This window comes from Homo sapiens, chromosome Y, assembly GCF_000001405.40.
Source record: "Homo sapiens chromosome Y, GRCh38.p14 Primary Assembly".
Lineage (NCBI taxonomy): Eukaryota > Metazoa > Chordata > Mammalia > Primates > Hominidae > Homo > Homo sapiens.
The window spans coordinates 11,490,498-11,517,057 of record NC_000024.10 but is presented as its reverse complement, the minus strand read 5'-3'; the positions used below and the strand labels follow the sequence as shown (position 1 = coordinate 11,517,057).

At 37.1% G+C, this 26,560-nt stretch overlaps 4 annotated features.

Annotated features, from left to right (window-relative positions):
- Positions 13,181-14,173: an enhancer, noted in NCBI's record as "OCT4-NANOG hESC enhancer chrY:13658561-13659553 (GRCh37/hg19 assembly coordinates)". NCBI's record gives its function as "activates a minimal SCP1, AML or CMV promoter by ChIP-STARR-seq in primed H9 embryonic stem cells {active_cell/tissue: H9 hESC(primed)}" and the evidence as "EXISTENCE:reporter gene assay evidence [ECO:0000049][PMID:30033119]".
- Positions 21,708-22,405: an enhancer, noted in NCBI's record as "OCT4-NANOG hESC enhancer chrY:13650329-13651026 (GRCh37/hg19 assembly coordinates)". NCBI's record gives its function as "activates a minimal SCP1, AML or CMV promoter by ChIP-STARR-seq in naive H9 embryonic stem cells {active_cell/tissue: H9 hESC(naive)}" and the evidence as "EXISTENCE:reporter gene assay evidence [ECO:0000049][PMID:30033119]".
- Positions 22,804-23,367: an enhancer, noted in NCBI's record as "OCT4-NANOG hESC enhancer chrY:13649367-13649930 (GRCh37/hg19 assembly coordinates)". NCBI's record gives its function as "activates a minimal SCP1, AML or CMV promoter by ChIP-STARR-seq in naive H9 embryonic stem cells {active_cell/tissue: H9 hESC(naive)}" and the evidence as "EXISTENCE:reporter gene assay evidence [ECO:0000049][PMID:30033119]".
- Positions 23,501-24,051: an enhancer, noted in NCBI's record as "OCT4-NANOG hESC enhancer chrY:13648683-13649233 (GRCh37/hg19 assembly coordinates)". NCBI's record gives its function as "activates a minimal SCP1, AML or CMV promoter by ChIP-STARR-seq in naive H9 embryonic stem cells {active_cell/tissue: H9 hESC(naive)}" and the evidence as "EXISTENCE:reporter gene assay evidence [ECO:0000049][PMID:30033119]".

The window sequence follows — 26,560 nt, the reverse complement described above, 5'->3', positions numbered from 1 at the left end:
CATTCCATTCCATTCCATTCCTTCAGCTTCCATTACATTGTATTCCTTTCCTTTCAATTCCATTCCATTCCATCCCATTGGTTTCCATTCCATTCGAGTACATTCCCCTTCAGTGAATTCCATTCAAGTCCATTGAATTCCCGTCCATTCCATTCCAGTCCATTCTATTCCATTCCATTACACTCTATATCTTTCCATTACACTCTATTCCATTGTATTCATTTCTATTCCATTCAGTTGCATTCCATTCGATTCCATTCCATTCAATTCCTTTCCATTTGACTATTTTCCATTCGAATCCATTCCATTCCATTCCGTTCCGTTCCGTTCCGTTCCGTTGAATTCAAATCCATACGATTCCATTATTTTTCCATTCCATTTCATTCGAGTCCATTCCAATCCAGTCCATTCCAATCGATTCCATTCCGTTCTTTCCACTGCATTCGTTTCTATTCTATTCCATTGCATTCCACTCCATTCCTTTTGATTTCATCCCATTTGATTCAATTCAATTCGAATCAATTTCATTGCAATCTATTACATTCATGTCCGTTCTATTCCACTCTATTCAATTCTGGTACATTCCATTAGATTCCATTCCATTCAATTCCTTTCGATACTATTGCAATACATTCGATTCCAGCCTATATGAAGAAAATCCATTCGAGATTATTTTTTTCGAGTCCATTCTATTTGAGTCGATTCCCTTCGAGTCCATTATATTTTGTCCATCCGTTTCCATTCCATTCCATTGCATTCGATGCAATTCCATTCGATTCCATTCCACTAGAATCAATTCCTTTCAGTCCATTCCATTCCATACCTTTCCATTCCATTCAATGCCATCCCATAAGATTCTTTGCCATTACACTCCATTCGATTCCATTCCATCGAATTCCATTCCATTCTATTCCTTTCCATTACGCTCCAATCCATTCCATTCCATTCGTTTCCTTTCCATTCGAGTCCACCCCACTCCACTCCTTTCCATTCAATTTCATTCCATTTCAGTCCATTCCATTCGAGTCCAATCCATTTCATTTCATTCCATTCGATATATTTCCATTACACTCCATTCTATTCTATTCCATTCCATTCCATTCAAATCCATTTCATTCTCTTCAATTCCTTTGAATTCCATTGCATTCGATTCCATTCCATTCAACTCCATTCCATGCAAGTCCATTCCACTCCATTACATTTCTTTCCATTCAGTTCGATTCCAGTCTTTTTGATTCCATTTTGTTCCAGTCCATTCCATTTTGTTCCATTCCATTGCAGTGCATTCCATTCTATTCCATTACATTGCATTCCACTCTTTTCCGTTTGATTCCATTCCATTAGATTCCATTCCATTCGAATCAATTACATTGCAATCCATTACATGAGGGTCTGTTCTATTCCAGTCTATTCCATTCCTGTTCATTCCATTCGATTCTATTCCATTCAATTCTATTCCATACTATTGCATTACATTCTATTTCATTCTATTCGAATAAATTGCATTTGAAACAATTCCTTTAGAGTCCATTCTATTTAAGTCTATTCCATTCGATTCCATTACATTTGGTTCCATTCCCTTCCATATCATTCCATTCCATTCTGTTCGATGCCATTCCATTCTATTACATTCCGTTCCAGGCCATTCAATTCGAATCCATTCCATTCCATTCAATTCCATTCCATTTTTCCATTTTATGTCAGTCTATTAGATTCTATTCCATACGACTGCATTCCATTCCTTTCCATTCTATCAGATTCCATTCCATTCTATTGCATTCATTTCCATTCCATTCCATTCCATTCCTTTCGTTTCCATTAAATTCTAGTCCATTCCACTCCAGTTCATTTCATTCGAGTCCATTCCACTCACGTATATAACTTTTGATTCCATTCTTTTCCTGTCAATTCCATTCGAGTCCATTTCATTCCATTTCATTCCATTTGATTTCGTTCCATTACACTCCATACCATTCAATTCCTTTAATTCCTTTCAATTCCATTTCTTCCAATGCTATTCTATTCAATTCCATAGCTTTCGACTCCATTCCGTTCGAGTTCTTTCCATTCCAGTCCATGCCATGTGAGTCCATTCCATTCCATTCCGTTCCATTCGATATCTTTCAATTACACTGAATTCCAATCTATTCCTTTTGATTCCATTCAATTCCAACCCATTCAATTACATTCCATTCAATTCCATTCCAATTAACTCCATTCCATTCGAGTCCATTTCACTCCATTCCGTTTGGTTCGATTCCACTCAATTAGATTCCTTTCCATTCAATTCCTTTGCATACCATTCCATTCCATTCCTTTTGTTTCCATTCTTTCAAGTCCATTCCACTGCAGTACATTCCATTCGTGTCCATTCTATTCCAGTCGATTCCATGTGATTCCATTCCATTCCACTCCATTCTATTTGATAACATTTCATTACAATCCTTTCCAATCTATTCCTTTTGGTTCCGTTCTACTCCATTCCATTCGTTTCCATTCCAATTGATTCCATTCCATTCGACTCCATTCCATTCGATTCGATTCCATTCCTTTCCGTTCCATTCAATTCCAATCGTTCGATTCCGTTTTGTTCCAATCCATTCGATTCGAGTCCATTCCTTCCCAATACATTTTATTCAATTCCAATCTATTCAATTCCATTCAATTAGATTCCATTCCAATCGATTCCTTTCTATTCCATTCCATTTAATTGCATTCCATTCCATTCCATTCCATTGCATTCCATTCCATTCCATTCCGTTGGTTTATATTCCGTTCAATTCCATTCAATTCGAATCAATTTCATTGCAATGCATTACATTCATTTCCATTCTATTCCTGTCCTTTTCTTTCCGGTCCATTCCATTCAATTCCATTCCATACGATTCCATTCCATTCGATTCCAATCCATTTGAATCAATTACATTGCAATCCATGACGTTCGAGTCCGTTCTATTCCAGTCCATTCCATTCTGGTACATTCCATTCAATTACATTTTATTTGATTCCATTGCATATTATTGCATTCCTTTCAGTTACATTGTATTCGAATAACTTCCATTCGAGACCATGACTTTTAACTCCATTCTTTTGAGTCCATTCGTTTCTAGTAAATTATATTTTGGGCCATTCCATTCCATTCCATTCCATTGCATTCCATTTGATGCCATTCCATTCAATTCTATTCCATTTGACACCATTCCATTCCATTCCATTCCATTCCATTCCATTCCATTCCATTCCATTCCATCTGATTTCATTCCATTCTATGCCTTTCCATTCCATTCCATTAGTTTTCATTCCTTTAGAGTCCATTTCACTCCAGTCCATTCCATTCGCATCCATTCCATTGCAGCCCATTCCTTTAGGGTCCATTTCATTCCATTCTATCCCATTCCATATATTTCCTTTACACTCCATTCCATTCTATTTCTTTCAATTACATTCAATTCATTTCAATTGGATTCCATTGCATTACTTTCCATTCCTTTAGACTCCATTTGATTCGAGTCCATTCCATTACATTCTATTCCATTCCATTCCATTCCATTCCTTTCCGTTCTACTCCAGTCCGTTCTCTTCCATTTCGTTCCCATCCATTTCATTCTTGTCCTTTCCATTCCATTTCATTCTATTCAATTCCATTCCATTCGTTTACATTCTATTCGATTCCATTCCATTCAATTGGATTCCATTCCATTTGAGGCCATTCCTTTCGTTTTTATTCCATTTGACACCATTCTATTCCATTCCATTATATCTGATTCCATTTCATTATATGTCTTTCCATTCTATTCCATTCGTTTCCATTCCATTAGAGTCCATTTAACTCCAGTACATTCCATTCGCATCCAATCCATTCCAGCCCTTTCCTTTAGGGTCCATTTCATTCCATTCTATCCTATTCGATATATTTCCATTAAAATCCATTCCATTCTTTTCCTTTCATTTCCATTCAATTCATTTCCAGTCGATTCCATCGCATTACTTTCCATTGCATTATACTCGATTTGATTCGAGTCCATTCCATTCAATTCTGTTCTACTCCATTCCGATCGGTTCCAGTTTTTTTCCTGTCCATTTCATTCGTGTCCTTTCTATTCGATTCCATTCTGTTCAATTCCATTCCATTCGTTTCCACTCCATTTGATTCCATTCCATTTGATTCCATTCCATTCGATTCCATTCCACTTGATTCCACTGCGTTTCATTCCAATGCATTCCATTCTATTGCATTCCATTGCATACCCTTCCTTTCCATTTGATTACATTACATTTGATTCCATTCCATTCCAATCAATTGCATTGTAATCCAGTATATTCATGTCCTTTCTATTCCATTCCATTGTATTCCATTTCATTCCATTCTATTCCGCTCCATTCTATTACGTTCCATACTATTGCAGTCCATTCGATTACATTCTGTTCCCATAAATTCCTTTGAAGACCATTCCTTTTGAGTCCATTCTATTTGAGTCCTTTCCATTACAGCCTAGTACTTTTGGGTCCATTTCATTCCATTCCATTCCAATCCATTCCATTCGATTCCATTCAATGCCATTCCATTTGAATCTATTCCATTCAAAGCCATTCTATTACATTCCATCTGAAACAATTCCATTATATTCCTTTGCATTCCATTCCATCCCTTTCCATTCCATTCGTTTCCATTCCATTCGTCTCCATTCCACTCCAGTCCATTCCATTTGAGACCATTCCATTACATTCCATTCCACTCAATTCCATTCCCTTCCATTCTGTTCAGTTCGATTTCAATCTGTTCGATTCCATTTTTTCCAGTTCATTCCATTGCGCTATATTCTGTTCAATTCCATTCCTTTCTATTGCAATCCATACTATTGCTTCCCATTCTTTTAGATTCTATTCGAATATATTCCATTCGAGATCAATTCTTTCGAGTCCATTCTATTTGAATCCATTGCTTTCGAGTTCATTACTTTTGGGTCCATTCCATTCCATTCCATTCCAATCCATTCGATGCCATTCCTTTTGATTCTATTCAACCTGAGTGTGTTCCATTCTAGTCCATTCCATTCCATTCGATGCCATTCCATTAGATTCTATTCCGCTCAACTCCATTCCCTTCCATTCCATTCCATCCGATTCAATTCCATTCCTTTCCTTTTGTTGCCATTCAATTCCATTCCCTTCCTTCACATTCGTTTCCATTCCATTTGAGTTCTTTCCACTACAATGCATTCCTTCCCAGTCCCTTCCAGACCAGTCCATTCCATTCGTGTCCATTCGATTCCATTCCATTCCATTCCATTCTATATCATTCCATTACACTCCATTCAATTCCATTATATTCGGTTCCATTCAGTTGCATTCCATTCGATTCCATTCCATTCGAGTACATCCCATTCGAGTCCACTCCATTCAATTCCATTCCGTTCTGTTCCATTTGATTCCAATCCTTACGATTCCATTTACTTCAAGTCCATTCCATTCGAGTCCATTCCATTCTATTCCTTTCCATTTGATTCCATTCCACTCGATTCCACTGAATTCCATTCCATTGCATTCCATTCTATTCCATTCAATTGCATTGAATTCCATTCCATTTGATTACATTCCATTCGATTTAATTCCATTCGAATCAATTTCATTGCAATCCATTATATTCTTGCCCATTCTTTTCCTCTCCATTCCATTCTGGTACATTCCATTCGATTCCATTCCATTCAATTCTTTTCGATCCTATTACAATACTTTCGATTCCATTTGTTACGAATAAAATCCATTCGAAACCCTTTTTTTTCAAGTCCATTGTATTTGAGTCCGTTCCGTTTGAGTCCATTACATTTGGGTCCATTCCATTCCATTCCTTTCCATTCCATTATATTCCATTCCATTCCATTTGATGCCGTTCTACTCGACTCTATTCCATTTGAATCCATTCCATTTGATTTCATTCCATTCCACTCCCTTCCATTCCACTCAATCCGATTCCATTCGATTCTATTCCATTCGATTCCATTCCATTCGACCCCATACAGTTCGACTCCATTCCATTCCATTCTATTTCATTCCATTCAGTTCGATTCCAATCTGTTCAATTCCATTTTGTTGCAGTCCATTCCATTTGATTCCTTTCCATTCCAGTGCATTGCATTCGATTCCATTCCTTTTGATTCCACTGAACTCGATTGCACTCCATTTCATTACACTGCTTTCCATTCTATTCCATTCCATTGCCTTCCATTCCATTACATTTGATTATATTCCATTCAATTCCATTCCATTCGAATCAATTTCATTGGAACCCATAACATTCGAGTCCGTTGTATACCAATCCATTCCATTCTGGTACATTCAATTTGATTCCATTATTTTAGATTGCAATCCATTCTATTACCTTCCATTTGATTACATTCTAATTGAATAAATACATTCGAAACCCTTCCTTTTGAGTCCATTCTATTTGAGTGCATTCCATTTGAGTCCAATATATTTGGGTCCTTTCCATTCCAATCCATTCCATACCATTCCATTCCATTCCATTCGATGCTATTCCATTCGATTCTATTCCATACGAATCCATCCCATTTGTTTCCACTCCACTCCATTCCACTCCATTCAATTCAATGCCATTCCATTCTATTCTATTCCATTCGACTCCATTCCATTCCATCCAATTCCGTTCCATTCTATTCCTTTCCATTAATTCCATTCAATTCCTTTCCTTTCGTTTACTTTGCATTCGAGTCCATTCCACTCCAGTCCATTCCCTTCAAGACCATTCCAATCAACTCCTGACCATTTGAGTCAATTACATTCCATTCCATTCGATGTCTTTCCATTATACTGCATTCCATTCTATTCTTTTCGATTCCCTTCAATTTCATTCCATTCGATTCCATTCCATACTATTGCATTTTATTCAATTCCATTGTATTTGAATAAATTCCATTCGCTACCTTTCCTTTCGATTCCATTCTCTTTGAGTCTATTAAATTGGATCCAGTGTATTCCATTCCATTCCATTCCATTCCACTCTATTCCATTCTGTTCTACTCCGTTTTTTCCCTGTCTAATCCATTCGAGTCCATTACATTCCGGTCAATTCCACTCGATTGCATTCCATTTGATTCTATTCCATTCAATTCCATTCCACTCATTTCCACTCCATTCCTTTCCTTTGCATTCCATGGACTTCCATTCCATTGCATTACAATCTATTCCGTGTGATTACTTTCCATTTAATTCCATTCCATTTGATTCCATTCCATAGTGTTGCATTCCATTAGATTCCATTCCATTCGAATAAATTCCATTCGAGACCAATCCTTTTGGAGTCCATTCTATTTGAGTACATCACATGTGTGTCCAGTCCATTCCATTCCATTCCTTTACATTCCATCCCATTCCATTGCATTTCATGCCATTAAATTCGATTCTATTCCATTTGAGTACGTTGCATTTCAATCCAATCCATTCCATTCAATTCCATGCCATTTGATGTATTCGATTCTATTCAATTTGAGTCCATTGCATTTCAATCCAATCCATTCCATTCCCTTCCATTCGAAACCATTCCATTTTATTTTATCCCATTCGAGTCTATTGCATTGGAATCCAATCCATTCCATTCCATTCCATTTCATTCCATCCCATGCGAAACCATTCCATTGTATTCAATTGCATTCTACTGCATTCCATTCCATTCCGTTCCATCCGTTTCCGTTCCATTCTTTTCCTTTGCATGCAATTTCATTCCTATTCATTCAATTCCATTCGTTTCCAATTCATTCGTGTCCATTCCACTCCATTCCTTTCCATTCGCGTCCATTCCACTCTTGTCCAATCCATTTGATTCCATTCCATTCCATTCAATATCTTTCCACTACACTCCATTCCATTCTATTCCTTTTGAATCCACTCAATTCCATTACATTCGATTCCATTCCAATCGGTTACATTCCATTCAACTCCATTACTTTCAAGTCCTTTCCATTCCATTTCATTCCATTCCATTCCATTCCATTCCATTCCATTCCATTCCATTCCATTCCTTTCTGTTCGATTCCAATCCGTTCCATTCCATTTTGTTCCAGTGCATTCCATGCGTGTCCACTCCATTCCACTCCATTCCATTTGATTTGGTTCCATTCGACTCCATCCCATTAGAGTCCATTCCATTCTATTCTATTTCATTCCATTCAGTTCGATTCCAATCTGTTCAGTTCCATTTTGTTGCAGTCCATTCCATTGGATTCCTTTCCATTCCAGTCCATTCCATTCGATTCCATTCCATTCGATTCCATTCCACACTATTCTACTCTGTTTCATTCCATTGCATTGCATTCTATTCCATTCCATTGCATTCCATTCCATTCCATTTGATTACATTCCATTTGATTCCATTTCATTCGAAACTATTACATTGCAATCCATGAGAGTCCGTTCAATTCCATTCCAGTCCATTCCATTCTATTCTATTCGATTCCATTCCATTCTATTACATTCCATAATATTACATTACATTCGATTCCATTCTATTCGAATAAAATCTGTTCGAAACCATTCCCTTCATGTTCATTCTATTTAAGTACATTCCATTAGACTCCATTACATTTGGTTCCTTTCCCTTCCATCCCATTCCATTCCATTCCACTCGATGCCATTCCATTCAATTATATTCTGTTCGAATCCATTTCATTTGAGTCCATTCCATTCTAGTCTTTCCATCCTATGCCTTTCCATTAGATTCTATTCCATGCGTCTGCATTCCATTCCTTTCTGTTCTATAAGGTTCCATTTCATAGTATTCCATTCCATTCCATTCCATTCCTTCATTTCAATTCGATTCTAGTACATTCCACTCCAGTCCATTTCATTCGAGTCCATTCCACTCCAGTCCATTCCATTCAAGTCCATTCAATTCCAGTCCATTCCATTCCATTCCATATGATATATTTCTTTTTCACTCCATTCCTTTCTATTCCTTTAATTCCTTTCAATTTCATTCCTTTCAATTTCATTACATTCGATTCCATTCCTTTCGACTCCATTTGATTCGAGTTCATTCCTTTCCAGTCTATGCCATTCGAGTCCATTCCATTCCATTCGTTTCCATTCCATTCCATTCCATTCAATTCCAGTTCCTTCCATTGCACCTCATTCTATTCTATAACTTTCGATTCCTTTCAATTCCATTTCATTCGATTCAATTCCATTTAATTCCAATCCATTCAATTGCATTCCATTCGACCCCATTCCATTCGAGTCCATTCCATTCCATTCGTTTCCATTCAATTTCGTTCCGTTCGTTTCCAATCCATTCTATTCCAATTTATTCCAGTCCATTCCATTCAACTCCATTCCACTCGGTTCCATTCCACTCGATTCCATTCCATTCGATTCCATTCAACTTAATTCCACTCTGTTCCATTCCATTTCATTTCTTTCAATTCCATTGCATTGCATTCCATTCCATTACTTTTGATTATATTCCTTTCGATTCCATTTGAATCCGTTACATTGCAATATGTAACAATCGAGTCCGTTCTATTCCATTCCATTCCATTCCGGTCCATTCCATTCGTTTCCATTCCATTCGATTCCTTTCCATACTATTGCATTCCATCCTATTCCCGTCTATTCATATTAATTACATTCGAGACCATTCTTTTCATATCCATTCTATTTGTGTCCATTCCATTTGACTCCATTAAATTTGGGTCCATTCTATTCCATTCCATTAAATTCGATGTCATTCCATTTGATTTTATTCCGTTTGTCTAGATTGAATTCCATTCCATTCCATTCCATTCTGTTCCATCTGATTCCTTTCCATTCCATTCCTTTCCGCTCCATCCGGTTTCCATTCCATTCTATTCCTTTCCTTTACATTCCATTTATTTCCTTTCTTTCGAGTCCATTCCACTCCACTCTATTTCATTCGAATCCGTTCCATTGCAGTCCATTCCATTCGAGACCATTCCTTTCCATTCCATTCCATTCGATATATTTCCATTACACTCTATTCAATTATTTTCCTTTTGATTCCAATCAATTCCATTCCATTTGATTCCACTGTATTTGAATCCATTCCATTCCATTCCATTCAATTCCTTTCCTTTGCCTTTGATTCCAATCCGTTCAATTCCGGTTTTTTCCAGTCTATTGCATTACAGTCCATTCCATTCAAGCCCAATCTATTCGATTCCATTCCATTCGTTCCCATTCCAATCAATTCCACTCTGTTCAATTCCATTGCATTCCATTCTATTCCATTCCATTTTATTCCATTCCATTTCGTTGATTATGTTCCATTCGACTAAATTCCTTTTGAATAAATTACTTTGCAATACATTGCATTCGGGTCTGTACTTTTCCAGGCCATTCCATTCCTCTCAATTCCATTCGATTCTATTTCATTCGATTACGTACCATACTATTGCATTCCATTCAACTCCATTCTATTCGAATAAATTCTATTCAAGTCCATCCTTTTGTTTCCATTCTATATCAATCCATTCCATTCGAGTCCATTCCGTTTCAGTCCACTATATTACATTCCATTCCATTCGAGGCCATTCCAAATGATTCTATTACATTTGACTCCATTCAATTACATTCCATTCCAACCGATTCCATTCCATTCGATTGTTTCCATTCCATTAAATTCCATTCCATTCCATTCCATTCCATTCCATTCCATTCCATTCCTTTCGTTTGCATTCCATTCTAGTCCATTGCACTCCAGTCCATACCATTCGAGTCCATTCCATTCCAGTATATTCCATCCGAGTCCATTGCATTCCATTCCATTCGATTTATTTCCATTACCCTCCATTCCATTATATTCCTTTCTATGTCATTGAATTCCATTATATTCCATTCCATTCGATTCCATTCCATTCGACTACATTACATTCAACTCAATTCCATTCAATTCTATTCCATTCCATTCCCTTCTGTTCAATTCCAGTCTGTACGATTTGATTTTTTTCTAGTCAAAACCATTCGAGTCCATTACATTCCAGTCCATTCCAATCAATTCCATTCCATCCGATTCCATTCCTTTTGATTTCATTACACTCGATTCCACTCCTTTCCATTCCACTGCATTCCACTCTATTCCATTCTATTGCCTTCCATTCCATTACATTTTATTATATTCCATTCAATTCCATTCCATTCAAAGCAATTACTTTGGAATCCATTACATTCGAGTCCGTTCTATTACAGTCCCTTCCATTCCATTCCATTCAATTCTATTCCATTATCTTCGATTCCATTCCATTCTATTGTATTCCGTTCGATTACATTCTAATAGAATAAATTCATTTGAAACCATTCCTTTTGAATCAATTCTATTTGAGTGCATTCCATTTGAGTCCAATATATTTGGGTCCTTTCCATTCCATTCCATTGAATTCCATTCCATTCCATTGCATTCCATTCCATTCCATGCCATTCCATTCGATTCTATTCCATTCGAATCCATCCCTTTCATAACCATTCTATTCCCTTCCACTCCATTCTATTCAATGCCACTCCATTCTATTCTCTTCCATTCGACTCCATTCCATTCCATTCCATTCCATCTAATTCCTTTCCATTGTATTCCTTTCCATTCCATTCCATTCATTTCCTTTCTATTCTTTTACTTTCCATTCGAATCCATTCCACACTAGTCCATTCCATTCAAAACCATTCCATTAACGTCCTGTCCATTTGAGTCCATTCCATTACATTCCATTCAATATCTTTCCATTACACTGCATTCCATTCTATTTCTTTCGATTGCAATCAATTCCATTCCATTCTATTCCATTCCATACTATTGCATTTTATTCAATTCCATTGTATTCGAATAAATTCCATTCGCTGCCATTCTTTTCGAGTACATTGTATTAGAGTCTATTACCTTTAGGTCCATTCTATTCCATTCCATTACATTCCATTCCATATGATTCCGTTCCATTAGAATCCATTCCACTCGATTTAACTCCGTTCCATTCAAATGCCTTCCATTTGCTTTCATTCCGCTGCATTCCATTCCATTCCATTTGATTACATTGCGTTCGATTCCATTCCATTCGAATCAGTTACCTTGCAATCCATTGCATTCGTGTCCGTTATTTTCCAGTCCATTCCATTCCGGTCCATTCCCAGCGACTCCATTCCATTCCATTCAATTCCATTCTATTCCATTCCATTCGATTCCATTCTATTTGTATAAACCCCATTCAAGACCATTCCTTTCGAGTCCATTCTATTTGAGTCAATTCCATTCGAGTCCATTACATTTGGGTCCATTCCATTAAATTCCATTCCATTTCATTTGATCCCATCCCATTTGATTGTATTCCATTCCAATCCTTTTAATTCTATTCTGTTCCATATAATTACATTCTATTATATTGATTTCCTTTTCATTCCATTCCACTCCTTTCCATTACATTCCATTCTTTTCTATTCCATTCCATTCCATTCCATTCCACTCCTTTCCATTACATTCCATTCGTTTCCATTCCATTCGAGTCCATTCAACAACAGTCCATTACATTCGTATCCATTCTTTTCGATTTCTTTCCATACACTCCATTCCATTGTATTCCTTTCGATTCCATTCAATTCCGTTGTATATCATTCCATTCCATTCGACTGCATTCCATTCGACTCCATTCCATTATAGTGCATTCCATGCAATACCATTCCGTTATGTTTGAATCAAATCTGTTCGATTCCATTTTGTTCAATTCCTATCCATTGGAGTCCACAACTGTCCAATCCATTCCAATCGATTCCATTCCTTTCAATTTCATGCCACTCGATTCCATTCCACTCGATTCTACTCGTTTCCATTCCTTTGCATTTCATTCTGTTCCATTCAATTGCATTCAATTCCATTCCTTTTGATTACATTCCATTTGATTCCATTCAGTTTGAATCAATTACATTGGAGTACATTACCTTCTAGTCCATTCTATTCCAGTCCATTCAATTCCGGTCCATTACATTCAACTCCATTCCATTCTATTTCATTCCATACTATTGCATTGCATTCAATTCCATTCTATTCGAATAAATTCCATTCGAGTCCATTCCTTTCAAGTTCATTCTATTTGATTCCATTGCATTTGAGAACATTACATTTGTTTCTATTCCGTTCCATTCCATTCCATTCCATTCGATGCCATTCCAGTATATTCTGTTCCATTCTAGTCCATTCCATTCGAATGCGTTCTATTCCATTAAATTCCATTCCATTCAAACACATTCCATTGGATTCTATTCCAATCGACTGCATTCTATTCCATTCCGTTCCATCCAATTCCATTCCATGCTATTCCTTTACTTTCCATTGCATTCCATTCCATTCCATGTCATTCCATTCGTTTCCATTCAATTCGAGTCCATTCCTCTCCAGTCCATTCCATTCCACATCATTAATTTCCAGTCCATTCCATTCTATTACATTCCATTCGATTCCATTCCATTCGATTCCACTTCGTTCCATTCCATTGCATTACATTCTATTCGATCCCATTGCCTTCCACTCCATTCCAATTGTTTACATTCCATTCGATTCCATTTCATTCAAATCAATTACATTGCAATGCATTACTTTCGAGTCCGTTCTATTCCAGTACATTCCATTCCGGTCCATTACATTCTCCTCCATTACATTCCTTTCCATTCTATGCTATTGCATTCTATTCTATTCCATTCTATTCATATAAATTACTTTCGAGACCATTTCTTTTGGGGTCATTCTATTTGAGTCCATTCCATTACATCCCATTACATTAGTGTCCATTCCATTACAATCCATTTCATTCCATGTCACTCCATTCAATTCTATTCCCTTTGAGTCCATTCAATTCCATTTGATGCCATTGCATTCGATTCTATTCCATTCGACTCCATTCCATTCCATTCCGTTCCATCCGATTCCATTCCATTCTAATTCTTTCCATTACACTTCATTCCATTCCATTCCATTCCTTTCCATTCCATTTCATTCAATTCGTCTCCATTCCACTCGGGGCCATTCTACTCCAGTCCCTTCCATTCGAGTCCATTCCATTGCAGTCCATTCCTTTCGAGTCCATTCCATTCCATTTGATATGTTTCTGTTACACTCCTTTCCTTTCTATTCCTTTTGATTCCATTTAATTCCATTCCATCCGCTTCCCTTCCATTCTATTCCTTTCCGTTCTACTCCTTTGAACACTACTCCATTCCATTCCATTCGTTTCCATTGCATTCGAGTCCATTCAACTCCAGTCCATGACATTCAAGTCCATTTAATTCCGATACATTCTATTCGAGTCCATTCCATTCCATTCCATTCGATTTCTTTCCATTACACTCTATTCCATTCTATACTTTCAATTCCATTCCAGTCCATTCCATTCGATTTCATTCCATTTGACTCCATTAAATTCGACTCCATTCCTTTTGAGTCTATTCCATTCCATTCCATTCCATTTCGTTCCATTCCATTCCATTAGATTCCAATCTGTTCGACACCATTTTTTTCCTGTTTAATCCATTCGAGTCCATTACATTCCAGTCAATTCCATTCGATTTCATTCCATTTAATACCATTCCATTCGACTCCATTGCACTCAATTCCACTCCTTTCTTTTCTTTTGCATTCCACTGAATTCCATTCCTTTGCATTCCAATCCATTCAGATTGATTACATTTCATTCAATTCCATTCCATTTGATTCCATTCCGTAGTATTGCATTCCATTAGATTCCATTCTATTGGAATAAATTCCATTCGAGACCAATCCTTTTGGAGTCCATTCTATTTGAGTCCATTACATTTCAATACATTACATTTGTGTCCATTCCATTCCGTTCTTTCCTTTCCATTCCATTCCATTCCTTTGCATTTCATGCCAGTATATTCAATTCTATTCCATTCCATTCAAGTCCATTGCATTTCAATCCAATCCATTCCATTCGATTCCATGCCATTCGATGCCATTCCATTCGATTCTATTCCATTTGAGTCCATTGCATTTGAATCGAATCCATTCCATTATTTTCCATTTCAATGCATTCCATTCTAAACCAGTCCATTGTGTTCTATTCCTTTCGAGTCCATTGCATTTGAATCCAGTCCCATTTCATTCTATTCCTTTTGAAACCATTGCATGGTATTCTATTCCATTCTACTGCATTCCATTCCATTCCGTTCCATCCGATTCCATTCCATTCTATTCCTATGGATGCAATTGCATTCCTTTTCGTTCAATTCCATTCGTTTCCAATTCATTCGTGTCCAATCCACTCCAGTCCCTTGCATTAGCGTACATTCCACTCCTGTCCAATTCATTTGAGTCCATTCCATTCCATTCCATTCAATATCTTTCCATTACACTCTATTCCATTCTCTTCCTTTTGAATCCTTTCAATTCCATTCTATTCGGTTCCATTCCAATCGGTTCCGTTCCATTCATATCCATTCCGTTGAAGTCCATTCCATTCCATTCCATTCCGTTCCATTCCATTCCTTTCTGTTCGATTCAAATCCGTTCCATTGCATTTTCTTCCAGTGCGAGTCCATTCCATTCCACTCCAGTCTGTTCGATTCCATTCCGTTCGATTCCTTTCCATTCGATTCCATTCCACTCGATGCCACACTGTTCCTTTCCTTTGCATTCCATTCTACTACTTTCCATTGCATTCCATTCCATTCCATTTGATTAAGTTCCATTCGATTCCATTCCATTCGAATCAATTACATTAAAATCCATTACCTTTGAGTCCATTCTATTCCAGTTCACTCCATTCAATTCCATTTCATTCCATTCGATATTTTTGCATTAAATTCGATTTCATTTTATTCGGACAAATTCCATTCGATACCATTTCTTTCAAGTCCATTCTATTTGATTCCACTTCATTTGAATCCTGTACATTTGGGTCCATTCCATTCCACTCCATTCCATTTGATGCTGTTCCATTCTATTCCATTCCATACGACTCCATTCTATTCCATTTTGTTCCATCCGAGTTAATTCCATTCTATTCCTTTCCATTCCATTCAATTCCCTTCTTTCCCATTCCATTTCTGACTGTTCCACTCCATTGCATTACATTCGAATCCATTCAATTTCAATCCATCCCATTCGAGCACATTCCATTCCATTCCTTTCCATTCAATATCTATCCATTACTCTCCATTCAATTATATTCCTTTTGATTACATTCAATTCCATTCCATTCTATTCCATTAAATTCGGTATAATTCCATTGAACTCCATTCCAATAGAGTTCATTCCATTCCATTTCATTCCTTTCCATTCGATTCCAATTCCTTCTATTCCATTTGTTCCAGTCTTTTCCATTGGAGTCCATTCCATTCCAGTCCATTCCATCCAATTCCATTTCATTCGATTCCATTCCATGTGATTCCATTCCACTTGAATCCACTCCATTCCATTACATTGCATTCCATTCTATTCCGCTCAATTGCATTCCATTACATACCGTTAGATTTCATTCCATTTGATTCCATTCCATTTTTATCAATTACGTTGCAATACAGTCCATTCTATTGCAGTCCATTCCATTCCGGTCTATTACATTTTATCACATTCCATTCGATTCCTTTCCATACTATTGCATTCCTTTCGATTCGATTCAATTCTAATAGATACCATGCGAAACCATTCCTTATGAGTGTATTATATTTGCGTACGTTCCTTTCGAGTCCATCACATTTGGGTCCATTAAAATCCATTCCATTTCATTCCATTCTATTACATTCCTTTGCATTCCTTTCCATTCCATTTCTTTACGTTCCATTCGATTCGAATCAATTACATTGCATTCCATTACATTCGAGTCCGTTCCGTTCCAGTCCATTCCATTCCGGTCCATTCCACTTGATTCCATTCCTTTCGATTCCATTTCATATTATTTCATTCCTTTCAATTCCATTCTATTCGAAAAAATTCCATTCGAGACCATTCCTTTTAAGTCCAATATATTTGAGTCCATTCCATTCGAGTCCATTTCATTTGGGTCCATTAGATTCCATTCTTTTCCATTCGAAGTCATTTCATTCTATTCTATTCCATTCCATTTGAATAAGTTCCATTCGAGTTCATTCCATTCAATTCCATTCCGTTTGATGCCATTCCTTTCGATTTTATTCCTTTCGACTCCATTGCATTCCATTAAGTTCCATCCGATTCCATTCTATTCCTTTCAATTCCAGTACCTTCCATTCCACTCGTTTCCATTCCATTCGAGTCAATTCCACTCCAGTCGGTTCCATTCGATTCCACTCCATTCCATTCCTTTCGACGCCATTGCTTTCTGTTCTATGCCATTGGACTCCATTCCATTCCATTCTATTGCAACCTATTCCATTCCTTTCTATTCCTTTCCATTCCGTTCCATTCCATTCCATTCCATTCCATTCCATTCCATATCATTCCGTTTGCTTCCATTCCATTCTAATCCATTCCCCTCCAGGCCATTCCACTGGAGTCCATTCCATTACCGACATTTCCATTTGAGCCCATTCCATTCCATTCCATTCCATTAGATATCTTCCATTACACTCCATTCAATTCTATTCCCTTTGATTCCATTCAATTCCTTTCTATTCTATTCCATTCCAATCTATTCCACTCAATTCGACCACTTTTCATTCCTGTCCATTCCATTTGAATCCATTAAATTCCTTTCTATTCCATTCAATGCCTTTCCATTACACTCCATTCCATTCTGTTCCTTTTGATTCCATTCAGTTTCATTCCATTCAGTTCCATTCCTTTCGATTCCATTCTACTCGAGTTCATTCCATTCTATTCCATTTTTTTCCTTTCCATTCAGTTCAAATGCATTCGATTCCATGTTGTTCCAGTCCTATCCATTCGAGTCCATTCCCTATCAGTCCATTAAATAGCAGTCAATTCCAATCGATTCCATTCCATTCGGTTCCATTGCATTTGATTCCACTCCGTTCAATTCCATTGCAATCCAGTTTATTCCATTCCGTTGCATTCCATGCCATTACATTTGATTAAATCTCATTCAATTCCATTCCATTTTAATAAATTACATTGCAATCCATTACATTCTGGTCCGTTTTACTCCATTCCATTCCATTCCATTCCATTTCACTTTATTGAATTCCATTCGATTCCAGTCCATACTATTGTATTCCATTCGATTCCATTCTATTTTAATAAATTCCATTCGAGACCATTCCTTTGAGACCATTCTATTTGAGTCCCTTGCTTTCGAGTCCATTACATTTGGGTCCATTCCATTCCATTCCAATCCATTCTATTCTATTCCATTCTATGTCATTCCATTGCATTCTATTCCATTCGAGTCCATTCCATTTGAGCCCATTACATTCTATTCCAGTCGATGCCATTTCATTCGATTCCATTCCATTCGACTCCATTCCTTTCCATTATTTTCAACCTGATTCCATTTCATTCTATTCCTTTCCGTTCCATTCCATTCCATTCCACTCCATTCCATTCCATTCCATTTGTTTACTTTTCGTTCGAGTTCATTCCACTCCATTCTATTCCATTCGAGTAAATTCCACTCCAGTCCATTCCATTAAATTCCAATCCAGTCTATTCCATTCGATTCCATTCCATTCCTTTAAATTCATTCGATATCTTTCCATTAAACTCCTTCCCTTCCATTCCATTCTATTCTATTTCTTTCGAGTCCATTCCTTTCAAGTCCATTCCATTCCATTCCGTTCCATCTGATTCCATTCCATTCTATTCTATTCCATTCAAAATTATTTTATTCATTTCCATTTCATTCGAGTCCTTTCCAGTTCTGTCCATTCCTTTCGAGTCCATTCCTTTACAGTCCATTCCATTTGAGTCCATTACCTTCCATTCCATTTCATTCGATATCATTCCATTACACTCAATTCCATTCTATTCCTTTCAATTCTATTCAATTCCTTTCCATTAAATTCCTTTCCGTTCGATTCCAATACTTTCAATTCCATTTTGTTAAAATGCATTCCATTCGAGTCCATTCCATTCCAGTCTTTTCCTTTCGATTCCATTCCATTTGATTCCATTACACTCGATTCAACTCCGTTCCTTTCCTTTACTTTGCTTTCTATTCCATTTCTTTGCATTGCATTCCATCTCATAAGATGATATTCCATTCAATTCGATTCCATTTGAATGAGTTACATTGCAATCCATTTCATTCGAGTCCGTTCTATTTCAGTCCTATCTATTCCGTTCCATTCCATTCGATTCCAATCCATAGTATTGCATTCCATTCGATTGCATTCTATTCAAATAAATTACATTCGATACCATTCTATTTCTGTCCATTCTATTCCGTTCCATTCAATGCCATTCCATATGATTCTTTTCCATTCAACACCACTTCATTCCATTCCATTCCATCAGATTCCATTCCATTCCAATCCTTTCCATTCCATTCCATTCCAATCCATTCGTCTCCATTCCATTTCAGTCCATTCCACTCGAGTCCATTTCATTCCAGTCCTTTCCATTCGAGTCCTTTCCATTGCATTCCTTTCGATGTCTTTCCATTACCCTCCATTCCATTCTATTCCATTCAGTTCCATTCAGTTCTATTCTAGCCTTCAATTCCTTTCGAATCCATTCCATTCCATTCCATTTCATTCCATTCCATTCCATTCCATTACATTGCATTCGATTCCAAACTGTTCAATTCGATTTCGTTCCATTCCTTTCCATTCAAATCCATTCCATTCCAGTGCATTCCATTCGAATCCATTCCATTCAATTCCATTCCATTCGATTCCATTCCATTTGATTTCACTCCATTCCATTTTATTGCATTCCATTCTATTACATTCCATTGCATACCATTGCATTCCATTTGATTATATTCCAATGGAATCCTTTCCTTTCAAACCAATTACATTGCAATCTATTACATTGTTATGCGTTCTATTCCAGTCCATTCACTTAAATTCATTTCCATTTTATTCCATTCCATTCGATTTCATTCCATACTACTGCATTCCATTCAAATCCATTCCATTCGATTTCATTCCATTCTACTGCATTCCATTTGAATCCATTCTATTAGAATAAGTTCCATTTGACACCATTCCTTTCAAGTCCACTGTATTTGAGTAAATTCCAATCTAGTCCATTACATTTGGGTCCTTTCCATTCCTTTCCAATTAATTTTATGTCATTCCATTCTGTTGTATTTCATTCGAGTCCATTCCTTTCCATTCCATTCCATTAAATGCCATTCCATTGGATTCTATTCCATTCCACTCCATTGCATTCCATTCTGTTCAATCCTATTTCATTCTATTCTATTCGTACCCATTCTATTCCTTTCCATTCCCTTCGTTTCCATTCCATTCGAGTCCATTCCGTTGTAGTCCATTCCATTGGATTCCATAACTACCCCGCCCATTCTTTTTGATTCCATTCCATTCCATTCCATTCCACTCCATATTTATCCATTCCACACTATTCCATTCTGTTCCTTTCCATTCCATTCATTTCCATTCCATTTGACTCCATTCCATTCGGTTCCATTCCATTCCATTCCATTCCATTCCATTCCATTCCATTCCATTCCATTCCACTCCATTCCACTCCATTCCGTTCTGTTCGATTCCAATCCATTCAATTCCATTTTATTCCACTCCATTCCTTTCGAGTCCATTCCATTCGATTCCAATCCTTTCTTTTCCATTGCATTCGAATCTATTCCACTTCTTTCCATGCGATTCCAGTCCATTGAATTGCATTCTATTCCATTCCATTCCATTCCATTTGATTACTTTCCATTCGATTCCATTCCATTCAAATCAATTACTTTGCAATGCATTACATTCGAGTCCATTCCATTTCACTCCATTCCATACCAGTACATTCCATTCGATTCCTTTCCATTGAATACCATTCCATACTGTTGCATTCCATTAGATTTCATTAAATTCAAATAAATTCCATTCGAGACCATTCCTTTCGTTTCCATTATATTTGAGTTGATTCCATTCGAGTGTATTATATTTTGGTCCATTCCATTCCATTCCATGGAATTCCATTCGATTATATTCCATTCTAGTCCGTTTCATTCGAGTCCATTCCATTTCATTCATTCATTGCCATTCTGTTGGATTCTATTACATTTGGCTCCATTAAATTTCGTTCCATTCCATCCGATTCCATTCCAGTCTATTCCTTTAAATTCTATTCCATTCCATGCCATTCCATTAGATTCCTTTCCATTCTAGTCCATTTCATTCGAGTCCATTCCGTTTCATTCCATTCGATTCTATTCGATTTGACTCCATTAAATTCTGTTCCGTTCCATCTGATTCCATTCCATTCTATTCCTTTCCATTCCATTCCATTCCATTCCATTCGTTTCCATTCCATTCGAGTCCCTTGCAATCTATTCCATTCCATTCGAGTAAATTCCAATCCAGTCGATTCTATTCGAGTCCATTCCATTCTATTTGATATCTTTCCACTACACTCCCTTTCATGCCATACTATTCGATGCCATTCCATTCTATTCTATTCCATTGGAGTCCATTTCATTTGAATCTATTCCATCTCATTCTGTTGCATCTGATTCCATTCCATTCTATTCCTTTCCGTTCCTTTCCATTCCATTCCATTCCTTTCCATTACATTCTACTGCATTCCATTCCACTACATTCCCTTTGAATCCATTCCATTCCAGTCCATTCCATTCGAGTCCTTTCCATTCCCTTCCATTCGATATCTTTCCATTACAGTCAATTTAATTCTATTCATTTCGATTCCATTCAATTCCATTCTATTCGATTCCATTCCATTCGACTACATTCTGTTCGAGTCAATTCCCTTCCCTTCCATTCCATATAATTCTGCCCGATTCCAATCCGTTCGATTTCATTTTGTTCCAGTCCATTCCATTTCAGTGCAATCCATTCTAGGCCGTTCCATTCTGTTCCATTCCATTCCATTCCTTTCCATTCCATTGCATTCCATTCCATTCCATTCCATTCCGCTTGATTCCAATCATTTCAATTCCATTTTTTTCCAGTCCATTCCAATTCAATCAATTCCAATAGATTCCATTCCGTTCCATTCCATTCCATTCCATTCCATTCCACTCGTTTCCTCTCCATTCCATTCCATTGTATTCCATTCTATTCCATTCCATTGCATTCCATTCCATTCCATTTGAATACATTCCATTCGATTCCTTTCCATTCAAATCGATTACATTGCAATTCATTGCATTCTGGTCCGTTCTATTCCAGTCCATTCCACTCCAGTCCTCTGTGTTCGATTCCAATCTATTTGATGCCATTCCATACTGTTGCATTCCATTTGATTCCATTCTGTTCGAATAAATTCCATTTGAGTAACTTCCTTTTGATTCCCTTACATTTCGGTGCACTGCATTCTATTCCATTCCTTTAAATTCCATTCCATGCCCTTCCTTTCCATTCTATTCCATTTGAGTCCATTCCCTTGGAGTCCATTCCATTCCATTCTATTCCATTCCACATGATTGCATTCCATTCTATACCTTTTCATTCCATTCTGTTCCATTGTATTGCATTCCTTTCCATTGTATTTCATTCTTTCCATTCCATTGATTTCCTTTCAATTAGTTTCCATTCAATTCCAGTCCTTTCTATTCGATTCCATTCCATTCCACTCCATTCCAGTCGAGTCCATTCCTTTCAGTTCCATTCCATTCTTGTCCGTTCAATACCTATCCATTCGTTTGCATTTTTTGCAGTGCATTCAATTGGAGTCCTTTCCGTTCCAGTCCATTACATTCGATTCCATTCCATTTGATTCCATTCTACTCGATTGCACTCCTTTCCATTCCATTGCATTTCTTTCTATTTAAATCCATTGCATTCCATTCTATTTCATTCCATGGCATTCCATTCCATTTCATTTGATTACATTCCATTCTATTCCACTCAATTCCAATCAATTGCTTTGAAATCCATTACATTCGAGCACTTTCTATTACAATCTGTTCCATTACGTTCCATTCCGTTTGATTCCATTCCATTCTATTCCATTCCATACTATTCCATTCCTTTCAATTCCATTCTATTCGAATAATTTCCATTCGAGGCCATTCTTTTCGATCCCAATCTATTTGAGTCCATTCCATTCGAGTCCATCACATTTGGGTCCATTATATTTCTGTCCATTTCATTCAATTCCATTCCATTTCATTCGATGGCATTCCATTCTTTTTAATCCATTCGAGTCAATTCCATCAGAGTTCATTCCATTCCATTCGAAGTGCCATTCCATTCCAATTTATTCTCTTCAACTCCATTCCATTCCATTCTGCTACATACAATTCCATTCCATTCTATTCCTTTTTTTTTCCATTCCCTTCGATTCGATTCGTTTCCATTTCATTCGAGTCCATTCCACTCCAGTCCATTACATTCGATTCCACTCCATTCAAATCCTTTCCTTTCGAGTCCATTCCATTGCATTCCATTAAATTCCATTCGATGCCATTCCATTCGATTATATTGCATTCGACTCAATTCCTTTCAAATGCGTTCCATCCATTTCAATTCCATTGTATTCCTTTCCATTCCATACCCTTGCATTCCATTCATTTCCATTCAATTTGATTCCCTTCCATTCCATTGAATTTGATGCCATTCCATTCAACTCCTTTTCATTCCATTCCGTTCCATCTGATTCCATTCCATTCTAATCAATTCCATTCCATTCCATTCCATTCCATTCCATTCCATTCCATTCCTTTACATTCCATTCCATTCCATTTCAGTCCATTCCACTCCAGTCCATTCCATTGGAGTCCATTCCTTTCCAGTCCATTCCATTTGATTCCATCCATTCGACACCATTCCATTCGAGTCCATTCCATTCAATTCCATTCGTTTCCATTCAATTCCAATCTGTTCTATTTCATTTTGTTTCCGTCCAATCCATTCGAGCCCATTTCATTCCACTCCATTCCAGTCAATTCCATTCCATTTGATTCCATTCCACTAGATTCCATTCCATTCTATTCCATTCCAATGTATTCCATTCCATTCCGTTTAATTATATTCCATTCTATTCGATGCCATTTGAATCCATTCCATTCGAATCTAATACATTGCTGTCCATTACATTCGAGCCATTCTATTCCAATCCATTCCATTCTGGTCCATTCCATTCGACTACATTCCATTCGATTCCCTTCCATATTATTGCTTTATTTTCGATTCCATTCTATTCGAATAAATTCCATTCAAGGTAATTCCTTTCAAGTTTACTCCATGTGTGTCCATTCTATGTGAGTACATTACATTTGGGTCCATTCCATTCCATTCCATTATACTCCATTCCATTCGACTTCTTTCCATTCCATTCCATTCCATTGCATTTGGAGACATTCCTGTGGATTCTATTCCATTCGACTCCATTCCATTCCTTTCCATTTCATTCCATTCCATATGATTCCATTCCATACTCTTACTTAACATTCCATTACTTTCCTTACCATTCCATGCCATTCAGTTCTTTTCCATTCCATTCGAGTCCATTCCACTCCAGTCCATTCCATTCGAGTCCATTCCATTCCACTCCATTCCATTCAACTACATTCCATTCCATTCCTTTCCATTTGGCATCTTTCCTTTAGACTCCATTTCATTCTATTCCTTTCGAATCCATTCATTTCCATTCCATTCAATTTCATTCCATTTGGTTCCATTCCATTCGAGTCAATTCCATTTGAGTCCATTCCATTCCGTTCCTTATCTTTCCTTTCGATTCCAATCCATTCCATTCCATTTTGTTCCAGTTCATTCCATTGTAGTCCATTCCATTCCAGTCCATTCCATTTGATTCCATTCCATTTGACTCCATTCCATTCAAATCTATTCCACTCGATTTCACACATTTCCATTTTATTGCATTCCATTCTTTTCCAATCCGTTGCATTCCATTCCCTCCCGTTTTATTACATTCCATTTTATTCTAATCCATTCGAATCAATTACTTTGCAATCCATTACATTCGATTCCCTTCTAGTCCAGTCCAGTCCATTCCATTCCTATCCATTTTCTTCCATATCTTTCAATTCCATTCCATGCTATTGCATTCCATTCGATTCCATTCTATTGAATAAATTCCGTTAGAGACCATTCTTTTCGATTCCTTTCTATTTGAGTCCATTCCATTCGAGTCCATTCCATTTGGGTCCATTCCTTTCCATTCAGTTCCATTCCATTCCATGCCAATCCTTTTGATTCTATTCCATTCGAGTCCATTCCATTCGATCCCATTCCATCCCATTCCATTCCATTCCATTTGATGTCATTCCATTCGATTCGATTCTGTTCAATTGCATTCCATTCGATACCATTAAATCCGATGCCATTCCATTCTATTCCATTCCATTCCATTCGTTTCCCTTCCTTTCGATCCACTCCACTGTGGTCCCTTCCATTCAAGTCCATTCCATTCCAGTCCATTCCACTAGAGTCCATTGAATTCCAATTCATTCCATTCGAATGTATTTCATTCAAGTACGTTTCATTCCATTCCATTACATTCAATATCTTTGAATTACACTCCATTCCATTGTATTCTTTACAATTCCATTCAATTCTGTTACATTCGTTTCCATTCCATTTGGTTCCATTTCATTCGACTCAATGCCATTTGAGTACATTCTATTCCATTCCATTCCAATCTGGTCGATTCCATTGTGTTCCAGTTCATTCTATTCGAGTCCATTCCTTTCCAGTCCATTTCATTTGATTCCGTTCCATTCGATTACATTCCATGGAATTCCATTCCAGTCGATTCCACTCCGTTCCACTGTATTGCATACCAATCTATTCCATTCTTTTTCATGACATTCCATTCCTTTTGATTACATTACTTTTGATTCCCTTCCATTCAAATCAATTACTTTTCAATCCAATACATTCGAGTCCATTCTATTTACGTACATTTGGTTTCAGTCAATTCCATTTGATTCCATTCCATTCGATTCCATTCCCTAATAATGCATTCCATTCGATTCAATTCTATTTGAATAAATTCCATTAGAGACCATTCCTTTCGGGTCCATTCAATTTCATTCCATTCCACTCGAGTCCATTACATTTGGGTCCAATGCATTCCATTTCATTCTATTCCATTCCATTCCATTCTTTGCCATTACATTCTGTTCTATTCCATTCAAGTATATTCCATTCCATTTCATTCCATTCCATTCCATTCTTTTCCTTTCCATGCCATTCGATTCAATTGCTTTTGATTCATTTCCATTCATCACCATTCCATTCCATTCCATACCATCTGATTCCATTCCACTCTATTTCTTTCAATTCCATGCTCTTCCTTTCCATTCGTTTCCATTCCTCTCGTGTCCAATCCACTCCAGTCCATTACATTTGATTCCATTCCATTACACTCCTTTCCATTCGAGTCCATTCCACTCCATCCCATAGAATTCAATATCTTTCCATTACACTCCATTCCATTCTATTCTTTTTCAAACCATTCAATTCCATTCCATTCGGTTCCATT